Source organism: Homo sapiens, chromosome 8, assembly GCF_000001405.40.
Source record: "Homo sapiens chromosome 8, GRCh38.p14 Primary Assembly".
Classification (NCBI taxonomy): domain Eukaryota; kingdom Metazoa; phylum Chordata; class Mammalia; order Primates; family Hominidae; genus Homo; species Homo sapiens.
The window spans coordinates 124,584,769-124,606,596 of NC_000008.11; the positions used below are offsets into that span (position 1 = coordinate 124,584,769).

At 47.3% G+C, this 21,828-nt stretch overlaps 1 protein-coding gene across 34 annotated transcripts in view, besides 2 other annotated features; it reads right to left on the reverse strand.

Moving 5' to 3' along the window:
* Positions 1 to 21,828, reverse strand: part of MTSS1 (MTSS I-BAR domain containing 1) — a 177,690-nt gene that overhangs the window by 33,985 nt on the left and 121,877 nt on the right. For all 34 annotated transcript variants that reach the window (XM_047422493.1, NM_001363301.2, XM_047422490.1 and 31 more), the window contains 3 exons: positions 6,383 to 6,467; positions 4,852 to 4,943; positions 319 to 393 (listed from right to left, as the gene is read on the reverse strand). In XM_047422493.1, coding sequence (XP_047278449.1) covers positions 319 to 393; positions 4,852 to 4,943; positions 6,383 to 6,467 — 252 coding nt within the window. The remainder of the gene's footprint in view (positions 1 to 318; positions 394 to 4,851; positions 4,944 to 6,382; positions 6,468 to 21,828) is intronic.
* Positions 8,028 to 8,307: an enhancer, noted in NCBI's record as "active region_27887". NCBI's record gives its function as "activates an Ori minimal core promoter by ATAC-STARR-seq in GM12878 lymphoblastoid cells {active_cell/tissue: GM12878}" and the evidence as "EXISTENCE:reporter gene assay evidence [ECO:0000049][PMID:35858748]".
* Positions 20,588 to 20,657: an enhancer, noted in NCBI's record as "active region_27888". NCBI's record gives its function as "activates an Ori minimal core promoter by ATAC-STARR-seq in GM12878 lymphoblastoid cells {active_cell/tissue: GM12878}" and the evidence as "EXISTENCE:reporter gene assay evidence [ECO:0000049][PMID:35858748]".

Genomic DNA, 21,828 nt, shown 5'->3' on the forward strand with positions numbered 1-21,828 from the left:
ATAAAGGCCTTTCTGCATTATCCCAAGGCTTCTAAGAAATTTATAGGTATCATTACGAAGCACAATAGGCATGGAAACTGTCAAACTTGGAAGACAAAGGTGGGGGAAGGAACACGTCAAGTACCACTTGGCAAAGGCCTCAAATTAATACCTATTCTGCACTTTGAGAATGTGAACTCAGATAGGTCCTATTTGCTCCCACCTGTTTTCCAGGGCCGTCATACTTAAGGAAGTCTCTGAAGTGAACACCTTTCACTTCAAAAACAAATCAAGTACTCCATCAGGAAGTAACATCAGTGGCAGAATTTTAGGAGTTACCTTTTTTTGCTTTCTTCTGCAGTTTCAGCGTATCCGAGGACTTCTTTTTTATCTCTTGGCGGGCTTTCTTATATTCTAAGAGAAAGCAGAATATGGAACAATTTTACCACTTTGCTTAACAGAAAATATGTTAGGTAGGAAACAGCCATTACATTTATCACAGAAAGCATAAACTGTGACATGCCGTCAATGGCTTTATCAGAATACAATATGATAATCTCATGATGACATTTACAACAAAGGGGCTAGAGACACGAAAACAAAATGCACAGTGGTCTTGCCCTGTCATATTCACTCATACCAGCTTTGAAGGGAGGCTCCGTTTGGGAATACTTTTTTTTTTTTTAAGACAGAGTCTTGTTCTGTGGCCCAGGCTGGAGTGCAGTGGCATGATCTCGGCTCACTGCCACCTCCACCTCCCGAGTTCAAGCGATTCTCCCACCTCAGCCTCCTGAGTAGCTGGGATTACAGGCGCCCACCACCACGCCCAGCTAATTTTTGTACTTTTAGTAGAGATGGGGTTTCACCATGTTGGCCAGGCTGGTCTTGAACTCCTGACCTCAAGTGATCCTTGGCTTCCCAAAGTGCTGGGATTACAGGCATGAGCCACCATGCCTGGCGGGGAATACTTTAGTAAAAATGAAAAAAATTCACAATTTCTCAGCTCAAGTATCCGGAAAGATTTTTCAATATTATCTACTTTCCCCGGGCCCAAATCCACAGTGTTTTGCAAAAACAAAAAAACAAACAAAAAACAAAAAACCCCTATGTGGAAAAGATGCTGGGCAGATGTTAAAATCCAGAAAAAGTGTCTCATACAGCAGGAGAAGCTAGATCACACAGTGGGGAGACTGGGCAAGAAGAACCAGCTGCCTTACTTTCAGCATGAATCCTGTGGCTAGATACCACAAACACCTCAGAGGGGCAGTCCAAGTGCACCACATCCCCTGCCAAGCACTTCCTCCTCCACCACTGGCCCATTCGCAGACTGCCCCATTTCTGTTGCTGGCATCCTCATCACCCAGACATAGACACCTGGGATGATGGTCACCTGTGACACTTTTCCCTTTGCTGCCCTCACAGTCAATTAATTGCCAGCTGCTGTACATTTCACCTTGGCCAGCTCCCTTGCAGCCAGCTCTGAGGTTTCCCTTCTACTGGCCCTAAGCCTATTTATACACACCTGGAATCACTGTGCAGCGTGGCAGCTCTCCACTCTTTTCTGGCCACTCCCCCATCTTCCCTGCCTATCTGCACAGTTTTCTATCTGGCTAGGGCCCCTTCACTGCTCTAACGTCAGCGTGATGAAACCATGTACACCTACTGGGATCCCTCCAAATGGTGCCTCATTTTCTAATTCCTCAACCAAACCTCTCCAACCTCTGGGGCTCCCTGTATCTCTCTCCCCCAACATCCTGTGCTCTGCCCTACAGTCTCTCCTCCCTCCCCCTACAAGCTCCCCAGGGGACGCAGCAGTGCCTGGGTCATGTCTGAGCATCTTGGGCTAGCAGAGTGGGTTGCGTGTGGCTGCTACTCGGGTCGCGCTCCCTGAGTTAAAGGCTGAATCGAAAAGATGAAGGAAGTGCTGTGTCACCGAGGCTGGGGGTTAGGAGCTTTGTACCCCACAACCTCTTGGCCCCTGTGCAGACAGGCCACTTAGCAGGTATGCAGGCCGGACAATGGGTCTCAATTCACATTCAGGCCTAGGCTCTTCATCTCTGTATGTGACCCCAAAGAAGAAAATTGAGACGTGCTTCTCTGTATGCAGTGGGAATGGGAAGGAGGGGGAAATATTCCAAGAAAATCAAGGAACCTGTGTTTTATTGGATGAGTAGACCTCTCTGCAAGACCTGCTGCCTTCTCCTAATGGGCTCAGCACAACTACTCTTATAAAAGGCCTTACACATCCTATTTGAAGTCTCAGCTTTGCTGTACCAGCAAAGGGGAACATTTAACAGAGTAGAAGGAGGCTCCTGCAGGGTGGTGGGGCCCAAAAGGCCTCAGAAGTCTGCACCGGCTCCTCACACAGACAGAGGGTGAGGAGAGACCTGCGCAGGAGAGCAGGTTCCCTGAGGGCAGGGGCCTGGCCGGATGGTTGTCTATGCATCCCCAGGGCCTCAACGAGTCCCTGGCATGCAGCAGATGCCTGACAAATACTCAGCCAATGAATGAGCCAAGTCAGCCAACACAAAGTGAATTGGGCCAAACATAAACTATCAACTCTTTCCCCATCTGAAAAAAAATGTCAAATGGTTCTATTTTCTTTTACCCAATGAAAAGTACAGATGGATAAATCCCGTGAGCCTAAGAAAATTCATGATGTGATTAACACACAATGGGATCCAGTTAATCCTCTGAATTTGCCTCTCTCCCTAACTTCAAGTTAGGGTAGGGGGGATAAAAGATTATATATTAACTATTTTTTTTCTTGAGATGGAGTCTTGCTGTGTTGTCCAGGCTGGAGTGCAACAGTGCAATCTCAGCTCACCGCAGCCTCCGCCTCCTGAGTTCAAGTGATTCTTGTGTCTCAGCCTCCCGAGTAGCTGGGATTACAGGCGCATGCCACCACGCCCAGCTAATTGGTTTTTTTGTATTTTTAGTGGAGGTGGGGTTTTGCCATGTTGGCCAGGCTGGTCTTGAACTCCTGACCTCAAGTGATCCACCCGCCTCGGCCTCCCAAAATGCTGGGATTACAGGCATGAGCCACCACGCCTGGCCTATATTAACTTTTTTAATATAACTGCTAAGTATTTGGCTATTGTACCCATACTTCTGAATCTCAACACAAATAAGCCATCACCCTCCCTGGTTCTTTTATCAAAATGGTTTGTTGAAGTTCTACATAAGACTGATTTCCAATAACAATGAAGACACGACTTCAGGAGTCTGTTGTCTGTGATAGACAAAGTTAAAGGACGTGCACCAAAAACCAAGACCAACTTATTTATTTCTGTGGCTCCAGAGCATGCACGGGCATGAAATACGGTAAGTACTCAGTAGCATAGGTGCATGATGAGGGGAGGGGTGAATAATTTGAATGAACCGGCAACTTTCTGGTGGCTACTGATAGTTGCTGGGGACATAGAATGATTTTCATGATATAGCTTGAAGCAGGCAGAATAAACCATCCCCATAGTCACAAAGAGGCCTGTTTTAGGAGCCACCATTCACACTCCCAGAGCACCCGGTTGGGTCTTCATTGCAGTCTTCTACTTTGCTTTGTAACAGGGTTAATTTATTTCTGTTTCAGTAGATACCACACTCATCCTTCTGTAGCCCCCATAGCGCCTAGCATGTAAAAAGCATCAGAATGACCTGAACAGGGGATGAGAAGCTCTTACGAAGGTCTGGTTGGCCTGTGTGAAGGGAACACAAACACTCTCACTCGAAAGCATCAGTGCTATTTGCTGTGCAGATTACACTTAGTTCCTCTCATACCATCAAGGTCCCTGACAACTCACTCAACCAGTTCACAAAGACTTGTCTCACCGACCTGGGACAACGCACAAAGAGAATGGGCAGGAGACCTAGGGTAAGCTTATATCATTAAAAGTCTGGCTTTCAAAATGTGCTGAAATGCCTTAAGTATAAATGTTTGGCATTTAAACCTGCCATGATGATTTTCACTTCTTTGGAGGGTTAGGGGGAGGCAGTGTCTTGCTCTGTCACCCAGGCTGGAGTGCAGTGGTGCAATCTCTGCTTACTGCAACCTCTGCCTCCTGGGTTCAAACAATTCTCGTGTCTCAGCCTCCCGAGTAGTTGGGATTACAGGCATGCACCACCACACCTGGATACTTTTTGTATTTTTAGTAGCCATAGGGTTTCACCAAGTTGGCCAGGCTGGTCTCAGACTCCTGGACTCAAGTGATCTGCCCACCTGAGCCTCCTGAAGTGCTGGAATTACAGGTGTGAGCCACTGCACCCGGCCTATGATTTCTTCTTTTTCTTTTTTTTTGTTTTTTGAGATGGAGTCTCACTCTGTCGTCCAGGCTGGAGTACAATGGTGCAATCTTGGCTCACTGCAACCTCTGACTCCCGGGTTCAAGCGATTTTTGTGTCTCAGCCTCCCAAGTAGCTGGGATTACAGGCACCCACCACCATGCTTGGCTAATTTTTGTGTTTTTAGTAGAGATGGGGTTTCAACATGTTGGCCAGGCTGGTCTCAAACTCCTGACCTCAAGTGATCCGCCCGCCTCGGCCTCCCAAAGTGCCGGGATTACAGGTCTGAGCCACCGCGCCCACCCTGTGATTTATTCTTAATTCAGCTGAATACAATTCATGCCACTGAGGGATCAGACTATCAGCTGCTGAATGTTGTTTCACACCAAAGAAACAGCACTCAGCCTCACAACGGGATCACTTTGTTCTCCTCATCCCCTGACACGGACGTGCCTACAGGAGAGTAGGGACAGAGTGGGCCCTTGGCTGTTTTGGTGACACCAATAAACCTAGCAGAGGGGCCAGGCAGCAGCTGGCAACTTCCCACAGCGCCCCCCAGCGTGCAGTGATGCGCTAGACATCTCGCCCCTGTACCTTTTGCGTGGTCTTTATCCAGCTGGTTGGCCACTTTCTTCCATTCTTCCATCTGTTCTTGAAGTGGGTTTATCAGACAATCAATTAAAGCGCTTTTACCAAGCGGGGGGGAAAAAGGGAGAAATTAAATAGATACATTCTGTTGTCAGGATTTAAATGTGGTTGTCAAAACATACCTAAATCACAATTACCCGAAACGTTCTCATCTAAACCCCGGGGCTCCAGAACAGCCATGTTCCAAGAATGCTTTTCTTTTAAGACAGAGTCTCGCTCTGTCACCAGGCTGGAGTGCAGTGGCGCGATCTCGGCTCACTGCAACCACCACCTCCCAGGTTCAAGCGATTCCCCTGCCTCAGCCTCCCAGGTAGCTGGGACTACAGGAACACATCACCATGCCCAACTAATTTTTTGTATTTTAGTAGAGATGGGTTTTCACCATGTTGGCCAGGATGGTCTTGATCTCCTGACCTCATGAGCCGCCTGCCTTGGCCTCCCAAAGTGCTGGGATTACAGGCGAGAGCCACCGCGCCTGGCCCCAAGAATGTTTTTCAATGACTACTAAGAAGCTGTCAATGTGACTGGTGGGAGTGACCCTTCTTCCCATTTTCCCTGTGATATTCTAGTGTTTGTATTAACAAGCCAAGTTGCAGAACCACAGGGGTCACCCCTCTGAGAGCTGCACAACAGGGACCCCCAAAATGCAAAGACACCTGGGCCTTATCTCACCCCCAATGGAGACTTTGAGGGTGGGGCCCAGCATCACTATTTTTAAAAAAGACCCACAAGATTCTGCTGTGCATGCGGCATGACAGGTCATAAATATACACTAAGTATGCACAGCCTGGAGAAAGAGAAGAGTGACGAGACCCAGAAAATTCTCGAGCTGCACTGCCAGCCTCGGGGTTACTGAGGGGTGAAGGTCTCTGAAGGTGTGCCCCTTCATTTTGTGCAGTCTCCCAAACAGAATCACATAAAACTGCTGAATGATGCTGATCTGCTTGGAAAGCAATGTCCATTTTCACTTGAACATTTGTAACCCAATTCCGGTGCCAGCTACTACCATTTCTTCCCTATTCTGGATGCCTGGAAGCCAGATGGGAAGCTGGCGGTGTGGAGTGGTCTGTGAGCTGCCACATCCCTCAGTGAGTCTGGAGGATGCACACAGGATACCAAGGCACATCTCACTCTCCAATTTCACAGCCCCTCTTCTTGCGAGGCTCCCGCAGGGCAGTGGGGGCCCAAAAGACCTCAGCAGGCTGCACCGGCTCCTTGCACAGACAAAGGGTAAGGAGAGACCCATGCAGGAGCACAGGCTCTGTGAAGGCAGGGGCCTGGCTGGCTGGTGATCTGCTGCACCCCCAGGGCCTCGACCAGTGCCTGGTATGCAGCAGATGCCTAACAATACTCAGGCAATGAATGAGCCAAGTCAGACAGATTGTGGGGATTTAAATGCTGTGTGCCACACATGACTGCTTCCTTAACCTGAAATCTGCAAGGGTGTTGGCGATCGGGGCCAAAACATGCTCCTCACCTCGAAAACTGCCTCAGCTTGGCTTCAATGCTTCTGTGCCTCATGCACATCCTGGTGAGAGCAGATCCAATCTCCCTGGTCCCACCTGAAAAAGCAACAGAGGCAAAGGTGAGGGATAGAAGACTAGCAGGGATCATGGAGGTCTTTAGAGAACTTTACAAACAAGTCAGATTTCACCACATTGTAAAATATAAGCCACCATCTTTAGAAGCTTCTCACCATGCCCATGTGTGCATACACACAGGCACATGTAAACATGTATGTACGTATGGTGACAGATTTCTGTATCACCAAAACTATCACCAAAGGCTGCTCCTACTATATACCACACTCTGTTAGTTTCTATTCCATCTGATTTTTTTTGTAATGCTGATTGTAATCTAAAAATTGACTTTACAACCTATAAATCGACCATGACCTGTAGTTTGAAAAATACTTCTCATGAAAGATAATCAATATAGTATCTGCTGTTTAGGGAAGAGCTGTAGCTTTTCTCAACAATTCTGACAAAATAATCCCGTTAACATTATTTAGAACAGCCAAGGCAGCCACGCTAGCTAATTATTTCAAGACAAATGTTCTAGAATACAAGTAATTCAGAGAATAGCAAGGCTAAAGCAAAATGAGGTAATAGGACTTTTTTTTTTTGAGATGGAATCTTGCTGTGTTGCCCAGGCTGGAGTGCAGTGGTGCAATCAAGGCTCACTGCAACCTCTACCTCCTGGGTTCAAACAATTCTCCTGCCTCAGCCTCCTAAGTAGCTGGGATTACAGGCACGTGCCACCACACCCAGCTGATTTTTTTATTTTTTTTTTAGTAAAGACAGAGTTTCACCATGTTGGCCAGGCTGGTCTCGAACTCCTGACCTCAGGTGATCCACCCACCTCAGCCTCCCAAAGTGCTAAGATTACAGGCGTGAGCCACCATGCCCAGCCAGTAATAGGACATTTTTTAAATGGGCTTGAGCAACACCAGTCTTCAAGCTCAGCAAATAATGAAGGAAGTTGCAGCCCAGTTTGATTTTCCCGAAATTCTCATCATACTTTTCCCCTTCAGGCACACCTTCTCTAACATTATTTTTAAAGCTCTTCTCTTCCTTCTCCCTCTTAAAAACAATGCTTGAATCAGCATTTACTGGGGCGTGGGAGAGCAAATTATAACCACACATGGTAGTTCTGCGCTGAACACTGGAGGGCACAATTATGAACATTACGAAAACACTGGTGTTTGTGAATTTGGGGAAAAGTGTCAAATAAAGCACTATTTTTAACAGACAAGACCTTCAGGGGAAAGCCACAGGGATCTGTGGCAGGTTTAACCATGTTGAATTGGTAGAAGAACATTCCCTCTCTTATTAGTACTCGTGACATTACTATGGGTTGGATTTTCCTGTGCCCTCTCTTCTAGAAATCCCCATTTACTATTTCAGCTCCACATGTTTTCCATTTCATTTTGCAAAACCATCAAGTTTCTACAACCAAATAATAGTAACTGTGACATATATATCGTATATTAATATTTCTATATTTTATTTCAGTCTGAAGAGAGAAACCTTCTGAGGGCAAGGCCTCTATTCCTCTAAAAACAAGGTTTTCTCAATCTGGACAATGTTGACATCCTGGGCTGAATGTTGCTTTGTTGCTGGGCTGGACTGGGCTGTGCAGTGTGAGATGTTTAGCAGTATCCTTGGCCTCTACCCACCAGAAGTCAACAGCAGACTTCCTTTAACCTCACCTCCAGACTTGTGATCCTCCAAAATGTCTCCAGAGAGTACCAAGTGTTGGGCAACAAATCACTCCTGTTGAAACCAGTGCTGTAAAAGAACCCAAGCGAGGGCCAAGTGTTGCCCGAATCTGACTTTTATGACCAGAGTCTCTTAAAACTGTACCTGCCTCCAAAGAGCAGGGGATGCCACGGCCATCTCAGCGTTGCCATCTACCACTGTTCACACCAGGGAGAGCCAGCAGAGGGCGCCGTTTTCACACACTCTGCCCCGCCTTCTGCGCTCTCCAAGTTCTGAGCTTTTTACTGCATATAAGCAAAGACGAGGAACGTTTTATTCCCCGGGAAATATTTCCTATTTCTTTCTGGGCCTTCGTTTGATTAAAAGTTAATAACCCGGCCACACAAGGAAACTGGCACACTCACTCACTGATGGTAAGAGTGTAAACTACTACTTTCCTGGAGCAAAATGTGGTAGCGTCTATCAAGAAAAGCCTTGAAATATTTTTCTTTGACCCAGCAATTCTCATTTCAGAAATTTAACCTGCGGAAATGATTAAGAGTGAAAGAAAGTCCTTACCTACAAGGGTAGTCATCGAAATGTTGTTCACAGCGTCAAAAGACTGGAAACAAAATCCCATTACAGGGATCTGGTTAAATCAACCATAGAGCACCACCATGCGATGGAATTGCACGTGGTAATTTAAAACACTGGAGAACAACGTTTAAGGTTGCAGGAAGACGTACAGCGCTTAGGATGTGCCAGGCACTGCTGTGAGTACTCTGCACACTTCAACTCATTTAATCCTCGCAGCACCTCCAGCCGCATCAGTACTGTGACCATCCCATGTTATAGAAAGGAAAAATGCCCAAGTGATTTGTCCCAGGTTATGTCACTAGTAAGTGGAACTCAAACCTAGGCTTAAGCTCCAGCGTCAATGCATTTATCCCCTCAGGTATATGGCACTTGTGATGGACAAAGGGAGATGGGACAGAGCAGAGACGAGAGCCTAGAACAATGTACACCAAACTTATTGGTCTACACGCTATTACGGGTGTTGGTGCTTTAAAGCCAGCTCTCATATTTTGCTTCTAGAGCCTGGCCCTGTCTAATCAGTACCAACAGGGATTGCGCTCCATCCTTGCTAAGCTACTATAGGGAGTTCAGGGATGGAGAGCTGCTTCATGGATAATTCATGCCTCAGTTTCCTCAAGATAGAATTATGATGTTGGAAAAGATCATCTCAAATGTCAGTGCCCCCACTCCGTTTCTCTGCTTCACTGCTTCTGTCACCTTCCCAGGTATTTCCCATAGATTGCCACTGGTCACTTATTATCCCCAGGAAAGCCCAAGGCTTCTCAGAAACAGATGAACTGGCCGGGCTCAGTGGCTCACGCCTGTAACCCCAGCACTTTGGAAGGCTGAGGCGGGCGGATCACCTGAGGTCAGGAGTTCGAGACCAGCCTGGCCAACATGATGAAACCTCATCTCTACTAAAAATACAAAAATCAGCCAGGTGTGGTGGCACATGCTTGTAATCCCACCTACTTGGGAGGAGTAGCTTGAGAATCGCTTGAACCCAGGAGGTGGAGGTTACAGTGAGCTGAGACTGCGCCACTGCACTTCAACCTGGGCAACAGACTGAGACTCTGTCTCAACAACAACAACAAAAGAAATAAAGGAAAGGAAAGGAAAGGAAATAGCTGAACTATGGTACAATAAAAACAATTTCTAGACATAATGTATGTGCCTCTGTAGAACAGGAAGCCCTAGAGAGGAGAGGAAATAAAGAACCACAAAGAAAACTTCCAAACAGCAGTGTCTCTGTCCAACTGGCACGAAGACAGGAGGCAGATGACATCCTCTGTGGACCCCAGGACTGAGCTATTAGAATCACTGCTGATCTCGGCAACATGGGGCACCCTAAAAATAGGTCCATCTGTGGAAGTGCTTAACATCTTATGCTCTTCCTAACCCTTGCAAGAACTTAAACAAAAATCAGCAGGTTTGAATAAGCTTCAGAGGAAACTGGCTTGAGCTACAAAGACAGAAGACATCTGGAAGAGCTCCCATTTGCGAGTGGGCATATTTGTGGAAACAAATGGCTGGCTGAGGCACACACAGCAGCTTGAGTGAAGACAAGGCCCTACTTCTGTGTTCTCGGTACCTAGCACTGGTGTTGAATAAAGGAACGGACATTTACCATTTTGAGAGCAAACCACCAGGCTGGCCCTATCTGGAGGCAGGACCAGGGACTGGGTTTGTATCTTGTTTAATCCCCACATACTTGTTTAAAAGATATAAAATAAAAACAAGATGCTTAATCTTAGCAAAGTTCTATATTGATTCCTGGTCAGCCTAGAGATACAATGCTGTATTCGTTTCCCTTTGCTGCTGTAATAAATGACCACGAGCTTAGTGGCTTAAAACAACAGAAGTTTATTATCTTATAGTTCTGGAAGTCAGAAGTCCAAAATCAGTTTCACTGGTCTAATATCAGGGTGTCAGGTACCACAGGGCTGGCATTCCTTCTGGAGGCTGCAGGGGAGAATCTATTTCCTTGCCTTTTCCCACTTCTAGAGGCTGCCTGCACTCCTTGGCTCGTGGCCCCTTTGTCCATCTTCAAAGCCAGCGGTGCAATCTACTCCCTTCTCTGACTTCTGCTTCTGTCCTTACATCTTCTCTCTCCGCCTCCAATTTTCCTGCCTCCTTCTTATGAGAATCCTTGTGATTATGTGGGACCCACCTGGATCATCCAGGATCACCTCCCTGCCTCAAGACCCTTAACCACATCACCACACATCAGCAGAGACCCCTTTGGCCACGTACAGTAACATTCACAGGTTCTAGGGGTTAGAACGTGGACATCTTTGGGGCATCCTTATCATGGCCATTAAAAAAAGGTAAGAGTTGTGAATCTGGAGAGTGTGGCAGGGCACTGTGGCTGACTGCAGCACCCATTCGCCCTCACATGATCGGTCTAGGCCCATGATGCTAACTCCATCCCCTTTGGCAGTGGCTGCTTCAGGGATGGGACAAAGACATGGAGAGGAGGCTGCTGGGGAGGCCTCTGGGGAATGTTTTCCTGATCTTAAGAGAAACACACCAAAGGGTTCCACAGGCCACAAACAAGGAAGCAGACTGTGCAGCTGCTGCCATCAGCCATCCTATGGCCATGGGGACACCTGCCTCAGGATGACACTGCTGTGGACAGAAGAGAAAGGGCCTGAGTCTCCAGTGATGTCCCTTAGCCACCAACCCGAACCTGCTCTTCCTCTGGGCCTGGCACCCCAGTTTTGCAAGCATATTCATTTTCTTATTTTTAGAGCCACTTTGATTTGGTTCTGCTTCTTGAAAGGAGAAGAAAGAAAGGAGCAATGGCCTCTCATGCTTCTTCCCAGAACCAGGAACCAACGTGTTGCTAAAAGAAATCTAAGTTGGTCACTTGATGCCACTGCTTAGAGAGGCACAAATACTTTATGGCAAAAACATAACCCGATTCAACGTGGTACATGTAAAAACTTTCTCCCATAACAAGCAAATGCTTTTCTAATAAAGCAGCACAAAATCAGCCAGTATGATCTGTGGGTGATCTGTGAAGGAATCATCAGTGGAAAGGAAGAAGTGAACCATCCAGGGGCTGGGCTGCCAAAGCATGACTGCTGAGGCCCAGCACCATACATTTTGCATATGAAGACACACGATCCACAAGCGTCCACTGAGTATTTGTATTGGCTTTTGGGGGCTGCTGTAACAAAGCAACCCAAACTGGCTGGCTTAAAGCAACCGTAGTTCTGGAGGCTAAAAATCTGAAATCCAGATGTCGGCAGGGCCGTGCTCCCTCTAAAACCTACAGGGAGAGTCCTTCCTTGCCTTCTCCTTGCTGCTGGTGACTCCAGCATTCCTTGGCTTGCAGCTGCATTGTTCAAATTTCTGCCTCTGTTGTGCTAGGCTCACGGCCTGTGTGTGTCCATCTTCCCATAAGACACGTGTGAAGGCATTCCTGTGTGTGTGTGTCTAAATTTCCCTCTTCCTATAAAGACCCCAGTCCTATTGGATTAGGGCCCACCTTAATGACCTCATCCTAACTGGATTACATCAGCAAAGACCCTGTGTCCAAATGGTCACATTCCCGGGCGCCAGGGATTAGGACATCAACCTATCTTTCTGGGGGTGCGCCGCAGTCCACGGCCCACATCCTACCGTGCAGCAAAAACTAACGTGATTTCAAGGACGGTGAAGACAGGTGCCAGGCCCTTGAGCAGCTTACAAAGATTGGTTGGATGGACACAGATAAAATGGTGCAGGGAACACTGTCCTGACAGCAACCCTCTGTGGTAGGCATTATCAGCCCCATGTTACAAATGAAAACACCTGAGGCTCAGGAGGGTTAACAACCTTGCTGAGGGCCACATTGCTGGTCAGCAGTAGAGCCAAAATCCAAGCCTGCTTCTACGGATACCAAGGGCTCTCTCTCACTACGACAAGCTGGAGACATTCCCAGCTGAGGACAAAGAGGCACATTAAAGTCACAAACAGAATACAAATTGTTTAATGCATATTTGGGGGGGTAGGGAGGAAATAAGAAAAGCAAAGTTTCCTTGCCCCCTAAAGTCCGAAGTCAGATTGCCCCTTGCTGCAGAGACCTGGCAGCGACAGGCAGGACGGTGGGTCCTTCGAGTGGCATTGTCCTGTCCCTCCAAGCTGCCTCATTTGCAGGCAGCTGCCATCTCCCTGCATAGCAGGGGACTAATGGCAGGCATTCTTGGGGGCTACAGTGTGGGCAGGTGGCGAGCGAGGACTGAAAAGACGTTTTGTCAGGCCCAGCTTCTGCAGCGTGGAGGGGAAGGGCTGAGGAAGCCAGACTGAAGAACTGCTTTGGTGAAAGTGTGCCGCCGTCACAGTAAGTCACTGTGCATCTCTGCTGTTCCCGAGAGCTGACATTGCTCGAAGGCTAATTAGGAGCCAGACAGAACCAGAGGAGAGGAGAACGCTCTCAGGCATCTCTGCAGGAGAGGGGTGCAGGGCAGGAGAGTTCACTAGAGTGGGGTATCTCGGCCTCAGCCCTGCTGACATTTTGAACCGGATCATTTTTTGTTATCAATAATGACCATTTTGGGCCAGGCATGATGGCCATGCCTATAATCCCAACACTCTGGAAGGCTGAGGCAGGAGGATCACTTAAGTTTGGTCTCAAACTTCTGGCTTTAAGCGATACCAACTAGCAACACAGCAAGACCCCATCTCTACAAATAAATTAATAAATAAATAATTAACTGGGTGTGGCGGTGTATGCCTGCAGTCCCAGCCACTCAGGAGGCTGAGGTGAGAGGATCGCTTGAACTCAGGAGCTCAAGGCTACAGTGAGCTATGATCACACCACCACACTCCAGCCTGAGTGACTGAGACCCTGTCTCAAAAGAAAAAAGCAAGAAAAAAAGGAATGATCATTTTTTGTGTCCTGTGTATTGTAGGATGTTTTGCAGCCTCCCTGGCCTCTACCCACTAGATGCCAGTAACATCCCTCAAGTCATGACAACTAGAAATGTCCCCAGGGGGCAAACTCGTCCCTGGTGAGCACTGGCGTAGGAACATGCATCCTTTTTCCATAAGGAGGGCTCACTGTTTCCAGTGCTGTTCCAGGGAAGCCACCTGACATGCTCACTGCACCAGTGGCCTCCCCGCAAACCCTCGCTGCAGAAGCTCTGAAAAGCTATTAAGTTCACTGCCTACCCCCATCTTCATAAGCACAGAGATAATAGGCAACACATGTTCTCATAATGAAGAAAATGTTCCACTTGCCATTAAAGAAACACTAATTTGAAAACACACAACTGACATTCCCCACAAAGCCAGCAGGCACTAACCCCCTCTCCTATGGCCTTAGGGATGCATTAATTCAACTAGGGGCAGCTTGTGTACAAGCCCAAAATACTGGAAATACCCAAATAACTAGGAGAGGGAGCCTGAGGAGCTGCATCAGCAGGATCTAAGGCCGCAGCTGTCTGGTTAGGAAGAGCTCCTTCACGGGACCCAGCTAGAAAGTGGAGGAAGAATGGGTGGTGGATAAGAAAGCCACCTCCAACCACTCAATGGCTTGTGACTTCTGTCTGGACACCAACCAGCAATAAACAGCCAGCCCCAAAGTGTCCCTGAAGATGTCTACAAAACAGCAGCTGGAACCCTAACACCAGTGGTTGCTCCCTCCCCATTGCCCTTGCCGCCTGCTGATGGAAGGGACCCTGTGCGCTTGAACAGCAGCTCCCGTTCCCCCACAGTGAAATTGATTACTGTACCCACTAGGGTTCAAGTTTAAAAGATCTAAGTAGCCGGGTGCGGTGGCTCACGCCTGTAATCCCCAACACTTTGGGAGGCCGAGGCGGGCCGATTGCCTGAGGTCAGGAGTTTGAGACCAGCCTGGCCAACATGGTGAAACCCTGTCTCTACTAAAAATACAAAAATTAGCCAGCACGGTGGTGGGTGCCTGTAATCCCGGCTACTCAGGAGGCTGAGGCAGGAGAATCACTTGAACCCGGGAGGCAGAGGTTGCAGTGAGCCAAGATCACGCCACTGCACTCCAGCCTGGGGGACAGAATGAGACTCCGTCTCAAAAAAAAAAAAAAAAAAAAGAGAGAGAGAAAGAAAAAGAAAAAAGAAATGAAAGATCTAAGTAAAGTGGAAATCTTTGGTTCCTGGGCACATAACTACCACACACACCAAATATAACAAATGTGAGTGTAGGCTCGCCTGTGACTGTATCAGGAATCTTTTTCTAAAACAGATACACACCAAAAACTTACCTATTGAGGTAAGTGACCCCCTCCTCCCCCAAATGACCTCCAAAACGGTCTTGGGGCTCCTTGGCAGCTGTATTCCCATCTGTCTCCTCTTTCCCACACACTTGGATGGCAGGCACACTCCACGCAGCCTGCAAGCCATAGAGTTTCAGTAGCAACAGTGTCTCTCACCATGGCTAATCTAGAGTCTTAGCAGAGACTCCTTACTATCGTCTAAATGAGCAGGAGGATAAGCAGAGAACCACAGGGTGAAAGGCTTAGCTCTGAAATTAGCCAATGTGGCTTCAAAGCCCAGCTCCCACATTTGCTGTCTGTGTGGTCTTTGCAAGGGTCTGCCTGGCGTAGGCTCAAACGTAGATGGTTGTACTACAAAAAAAAAAAAAACAAAAAAAAAACCAAATATGCTGACCAGTGTCTCATGCTATCTTTGTTGCATAAATCACACCCAAAATGCATCATCTGTGATTTCCATGTCGGGCTTCTTGTGAAGCAATCTGAATATCCTAGATTTTTACAAATTTTGTTCCCAAATCTTTTACAGTTGCCTCATCCATACTTAATTCGATGGCATTTTTTTTTTGCAAAAGTAACTTTTATTAATATCATATCTTTCTAAACATTCTACTTCTTTTGTAGAAATGACAAATCTTGGTTTTCACATTCACACTGCAAACATTTACATAGCTTATAATTAAATTATTTAACAACAGTATGTGCAACTGGCATTTACAGGTTTATAAGCGCACACAGCGGATGCTGGTGAAGCCTACAACCCAGGTGTGAGAAGTGTGTGTGCGCATGCTAGAGAGAGAGTCTGTGAGCTTCCTGAAGGCAGGGGCTGGAATATTTTACAGAGAAAATAAGGAGCACTGGTTACATCAGTGCTCCCATTAGGCAGAGCGGTGATGTAGCTATAAGCTGAGTCCTACAGGAAGGCAGAGGCCGGAGTAAGTAAATGTGGCTGGGCTGGGGCATCTGTCCATAAGGACACACTGGACAACAGATCATGACCCCCACTCCTCCCACATCTAATATCCACTTTCTCTAAGGAGCTGGCAAATCAGTACTTAGAGGGCAAATGAACAGTGCAAAGGGCAGCTTTCAAGAAAGCCAGAATTATTCCTTCTTCCCAAACATCTCAGAAGACCAAAGGCCTAGAAGGAGCGGCCCAGAGGGCTTGCCTGGAAGGTTCTGTTTGTACTTATTAATTGTTACGCATCCACAACGTGGTTATTTAATGGGAAGTGAAAGCTGGGGGACCGGGAGGCTCATGAAAACCAACTCCAGTGAGCCTCCATCCTCTGCCCCCACCCCTTCAAAACAGGAAGGCCGTTGCCCTTGGCTGAACAGCTTTTTAAAGTGACCTTGACCCTAGGTTTCCCTTGACTGTAATTTTTTTTTTTTTTTTTTTTTTGAGTCTCACTCTGTTGCCTAGGCTGGAGTGCAGTGGCGTGACCTCCGCTCACTGCAACCTCCACCTCCCGGGTTCAAGCAATTCTCCTGCCTCAGCCACCCGAGTACCTGAGATTATAGGCGCCCACCACCATGCCTGACTAATTTTTTGTATTTTTAGTAGAGACGGGGTTTCACCATGTTGGCCAAGCTGGTCTCGAACTCCTGACCTCTGGTGATCCACCCGCCTTGACCTCCCAAAGTGCTGGGATTATAGGCATGAGCCACTGTGCCCAGCCCCCTTGACTGTTAATTTTTATATTTCAGAGCTCACAACAGTTGCATCACCAGCTTCCTTCCAGCCAAGAATGAAAAGGAAAGCTCCTACAAAATCCAGGGCTCGGGACTGTGTCATGGGACGCTCAGGGCCACTTAGGGACACTGCTGCAATGGCTCATGGCAGGTTGTAATATTTTAGTTTCACTATATGAGAAAATAGTCTCTCCTTCCTCTCAAGCCCCTGCTCTCAGAGAGCCCAGAAGTCCTAAATTGGCAGGGGTCTTTTCACCTTGACGGCGGGCTGGAGGACTGCCCGGGTGTTGCATCACAGAAGTTGCCTCAGCGTGCATCACTGCCACTCTGGCTGGACCGAGCAGGGCAAGGCTGGGTACACCATCTGCTGCCCCGGGGGATGCCTGGAGGCCAGCACTAGCCACGGCTACACAGCTCTGCACACACGCACACACGAGCGTCAGACTTGACCATGAAGCTGGGCACTCCTCTTCTGCAATCGCACTGGCATGTTTCAGGATTTTTTTATTTTATAAGGTGAAGTGACAGAACACAGTCTTCAAAGGAAAGTAAGAGTGTTTCCAAATGGCATCAGAGTGTGAACCTGAATTCTAATAAGAGAAGAGGAAGCTCAATTCTTAGGCCTGGAAAAGTTCAATCATGATGCCCTAGCTAAGACAATGCTTTACCCAAAGATTTCGACCAGGTGTGTCCAATCTTTTGGCTTCCCTGGGCCACAGTGGAAGAGGAATTGTCTTGGGCCACATATAAAATACACTAACACAAACAACAGCTACTAAAAAAAAAAAATCACAAATAAATCTCATATATATACATATATATATATATATATAATTTTTTTTTGAGACACGGTCTCACTCTGTCATCCAGGCTGGAGTGCAGTGGTGTGATCACGGCTCACTGCAACCTCCGCCTCCTGGGTGCAAGCAATCCTCCCACCTCAGCCTCCCAAACAGCTGGGGCTACAAGTGTGCACTACTACACCTGGCTAAGTTTTGTATTTTTAGTAGAGATGGGGTTTCGCCATGTTGGCCAGGCTAGTCTTGAACTCCTGGCCTCAAGTGATTCCCCCACCTCGACCTCCCAAAGTGCTAGGATTACAGATGTGAGCCACCATGCCCGGCCTCATAATGGTTTAAGAAAGCTCACAAATTTGTGTTGGGCTGCATTCAAAGCCATCCTGAGCCATGTGAGGCCTGCAGGTTGAACAAGCTTGATCTAGACCAAGGGGCAAAACCCAAAAGGCTAGTAGGTGGACAACTATAACCCAGACCAACAAAATAACTGATCAGTAAGGAAGCTCCAGGCAAGGGGCTAGCCAGACCTCGGCTAGAGGTGGGTACATCAGCCTGGGGGTCTATAAGGTGGATCTCTTAGGTGATCTCCAGGTTAGACTGGATGACCCCTCTTCCTGGCAACCAAGATGCTGGAGTGGAGAAAGGACAGTGTTCCTGTAGTCAACAAATTTTTAGGAAATGTTACCTTGGTCTAATTATTGTGCTACGAAGTAAAGAGACAGCCGCCTGCCCCCATAGAGTGGGCATCTCCTGTAATTGGAAATGACGGATCGTCATGGTAACCTTAGAGCTGGAAGGTGCCTTAGAAAACTCACAAAGCAACAAACCAGCAGTTCCTTGCTGTTGGGCATCCCACTCTTTTTGTTCTTTCTGAGATGTAGTCTTGCTCTGTTGCCCAGGCTGGAGTGCAGTGGCACCATCTCAGCTCACCACAACCTACACCTCCCGGGTTCAAGCAATTCTCCTGCCTCAGCCTCCCAAGTATCTGGGATTACAGGCGTGCGCCACCACTCCTGGCTAATTTTTGTATTTTTAGTAGAGATGAGGTTTCACCATGTTGGCTAGGCTGGTCTCGAACTCCTGACCTCAAGTGATCTGCCCGCCTCAGCCTCCCAAAGTGCTGGGATTACAGGTGTGAGCCACAGTGCCTGGCCAGGCATCCCACTCTTGCCTTTAATTAGCAGAGTGCTCCTGATGCACGCAGGACTTCCACGCTTGCTGCTGTTTCTCTTGTTCAGGGAAACTCATCCTTGTTCTTTAAGCTGCACATTTATGAGGCAGCTGGCCCCTGCCAAAAGGACCATCATTTTCATTAAAGGTCAAAGTCAGCACTCAGGATATTAAGAACTTCAAATGAACAAACTGTGTTCCTCTGGCTTCATCAGCATTTTATTTTTACCCTTGGGCATGGAGAGATGGACAACCAGAAGAAAGTGGCATCATTTGATGCCCTACATTTGTTTAACTACAGGGAGGGGAGGCAGAGAGGGAGGAAATGGAGAAGCAACCAGTTTCTGGTATCACAAGTCTTCACAGAGATCAGACTCTGTTCACACGAGACAAATATCCCCTCTCCAATCATTAGAGACCCTGGTCACACATAAGTCACTGAGCAGCGTCCTGATACCTTATGTTAGCCTTGAAAATGGCTGCAAAACACAAACTTTTTTGCCTGTGCCATTTACAAGATCATCTCAGTCGGGTGTGTCCAATCTTTTGGCTTCTCTGGGCCACATGGAAGAATTGTCTTGGGCCACACTTAAAATACACTAATGATAGCTGATGAGCTAAAAAAACAAACAGGCTGGGCATGGTGGCTCACCTAAGGTTGAGAGTTCAAGACCAGCCTGGCCAGCGTGGTGAAACCCCATCTCTACTAAAAATACAAAAAATTAGCTGGGCGTGGAGGCAGGCGCCTGTAATCCCAGCTACTCAGGAAGCTGAGGCAGGAAAATCGCTTGGACCCGGGAGGCGGAGGTTGCAGTGAGCCGAAATCAAGCCATTGCACTCCAGTCTGGGCAACAGAGTGAGACTCCATCTTAAAAATAAATAAAATAAAATAAAATAAAAGCAAAAAAAAACCGTTTCAAGAAAGTTGATGAATTTGTGTTGGGCCACATTCAAAACCATCCTGGGGCGCATGGGGCCAACAGGCCATGGGTTGGACAAGCTTGATCTAAATGTTCTTACAACAAACACACAATCTGATTTCAAGGAAACTAAGAGAAGAGAAACATTAGTCCTTTAAGCTGTGAAAATAGGTTCCTTAGGACAAAGGTAAAAGAACTTGAAAAGATATTCAAAAATAAACCCATAAAGCCCCCAAAAAAGGAAGTACAACTTCCCTTTTGCTACAATGGCAATCCTAACAACTCATTTTAATCTTCAAGGAAGAGAAAAACATGCAGAAAATTTCCTGTGTGGTTTTTTTTTTAAAAAACCTGTTTTATTCAGCTACTGTATACAGCTGAGTATGTAATGAATAACCCAGCTGGTGTTTACGGGACAGCTAATACTGCACATTCAGCAAATGCTAGGTAGGGTCAGCATCACATTTTTGGAAGACACCATTGTGCCCACACACAGGGTGGAAGACACTGCAAACTGTTATCAGATGATAATCTTCCAGCCAATCTCCCACTTCTCAGTCTCTCCCACTTCACGACTTTTCAAAAAGCAGAGGAAACAAAACCCACACACAATCCTACCACCATCTGGCGGCTTCAGACCAGCAAGCATGAGATTCTGGCATGCACCGTACTGGCAGCCACAAAGACCAATATTCCTCTTTGTTGCTGTTTTAAAAGCAAAGCGAGAATGGTAATATGGAAACACAAAAACACGGACACGCTCACACTATGGGAAAACCATATTAACAGCAAACACATTCCGACAGGGAGGCTTCCCTGTCTACGTTTTGGATGGAATGGTGTCTGGTTGCAACACCCTGTGGGGGTGTCACCTGGGAAATGCCAGCTGTCTCCCCGACATCTGCCACCATGAACCCCCCATTGCCATGGTCTGCCTCTGCTGCATGGGCACAGAAAGATGCTCCTGCTGAAGCCAGGTCTGAGCGACTCGATGACGCCAGCTCCTGCCAGCGAAGCAGCTGTGGCCTGATGCAGAAACCACATGTCATTTTCTTAGTTCACAAAATTTAACTGTCGGGTAGATAAGATGCTCACAGTATCTGGATCAGGGATTATCTCCCAGTCAGCCTTCTTGGGTTGTCAGGTAATTCAGAAGGTGGCCAGATGAATATGGAATCAGAATCAGGGAGTTAGTGTTCTAGGGATCAGAGTAAGAGCCTGCTACATCTATCCCTGACAAAGGGATGGCTCTAAGCTGGGACTCTGCGGAGACAGCCCTCGCACTGCCTCCCTCCCTGCCCTCTCGCTGCCTCCCTCCCTGCCCTCTCGCTGCCTCCCTCCCTGCCCTCGCGCTGCCTCCCTCCCTGCCCTCGCGCTGGGCTCCCGTTGGAGATCAGAACTCCCTGTGATAAACATCTATCCTTGAACCCGCTAGCACCTAAAATCAGGTTTCATGCATGTGTCACTGGCCTAAGAGCTACTTTATTCCTTTAAGAGGTTTCTGTACATCCCCAAACTATGCCAGAATATAGCGACTTTATCATCTCTTAGGAGGTAATCTTGCAGTTTTTCATATTATTAGGAATAGCTCCCATTTACTGAGTGCTTGCAACATGACAAACCCTTGCAGGAATGTTGTATTCATTTTTTTAAAATCTCATTATACTCCTCTTATAGGTACCATTATAAAGTAGGTATCTCATTTTTTTTTTTTTTTTTTTTTGAGACAGAGTCTCACTCTGTTGTCCAGGCTAGAGTGCTGGGAGTGCAGTGGTGTGATCTTGGCTCACTGCAACTTCTGCTTCCCAGGTTCAAGAGATTCTTGTGCCTCAGCCTCCCAAGTAGCTGGGACTACAGGCATGTGCCACCATGCCCAGCTAATTTTTGTGTTTTCTGTGTTTGGTTTTTTGTTTTTTTTTTTTTTTTTTGAGATAGAGTTTCACTCTTGTGGCCCAGGCTGGAGTACAATGGCATGATCTTGGCTCACTGCAACCTCTGCCTCCTGGGTTCAAGCGATTCTGGGATTACAGGCACCCACAACTACGCCCAGCTAATTTTTGTATTTTTAGTAGAGACGGGGTTTCACCGTGTTGGCCAGGCTGGTCTCAAACTCATGATCTCAAGTGATCCACCTGCCTCAGCCTCCCAAAGTGCCGGGACTACAGGCACAAGCCCCTGCACCCCGCCAAAAGTAGGTATCATTATCCTCATTTTACAGATGAGGCCAAGGGTACTCAGAGAGGTTAAGTAACTTGCCCAAGGTCACACAGAATTCAGAATTTACATCCAGGGCTGAGTCGATAGCTAGAACTTTCAACCACTCCATTCTTGGGGG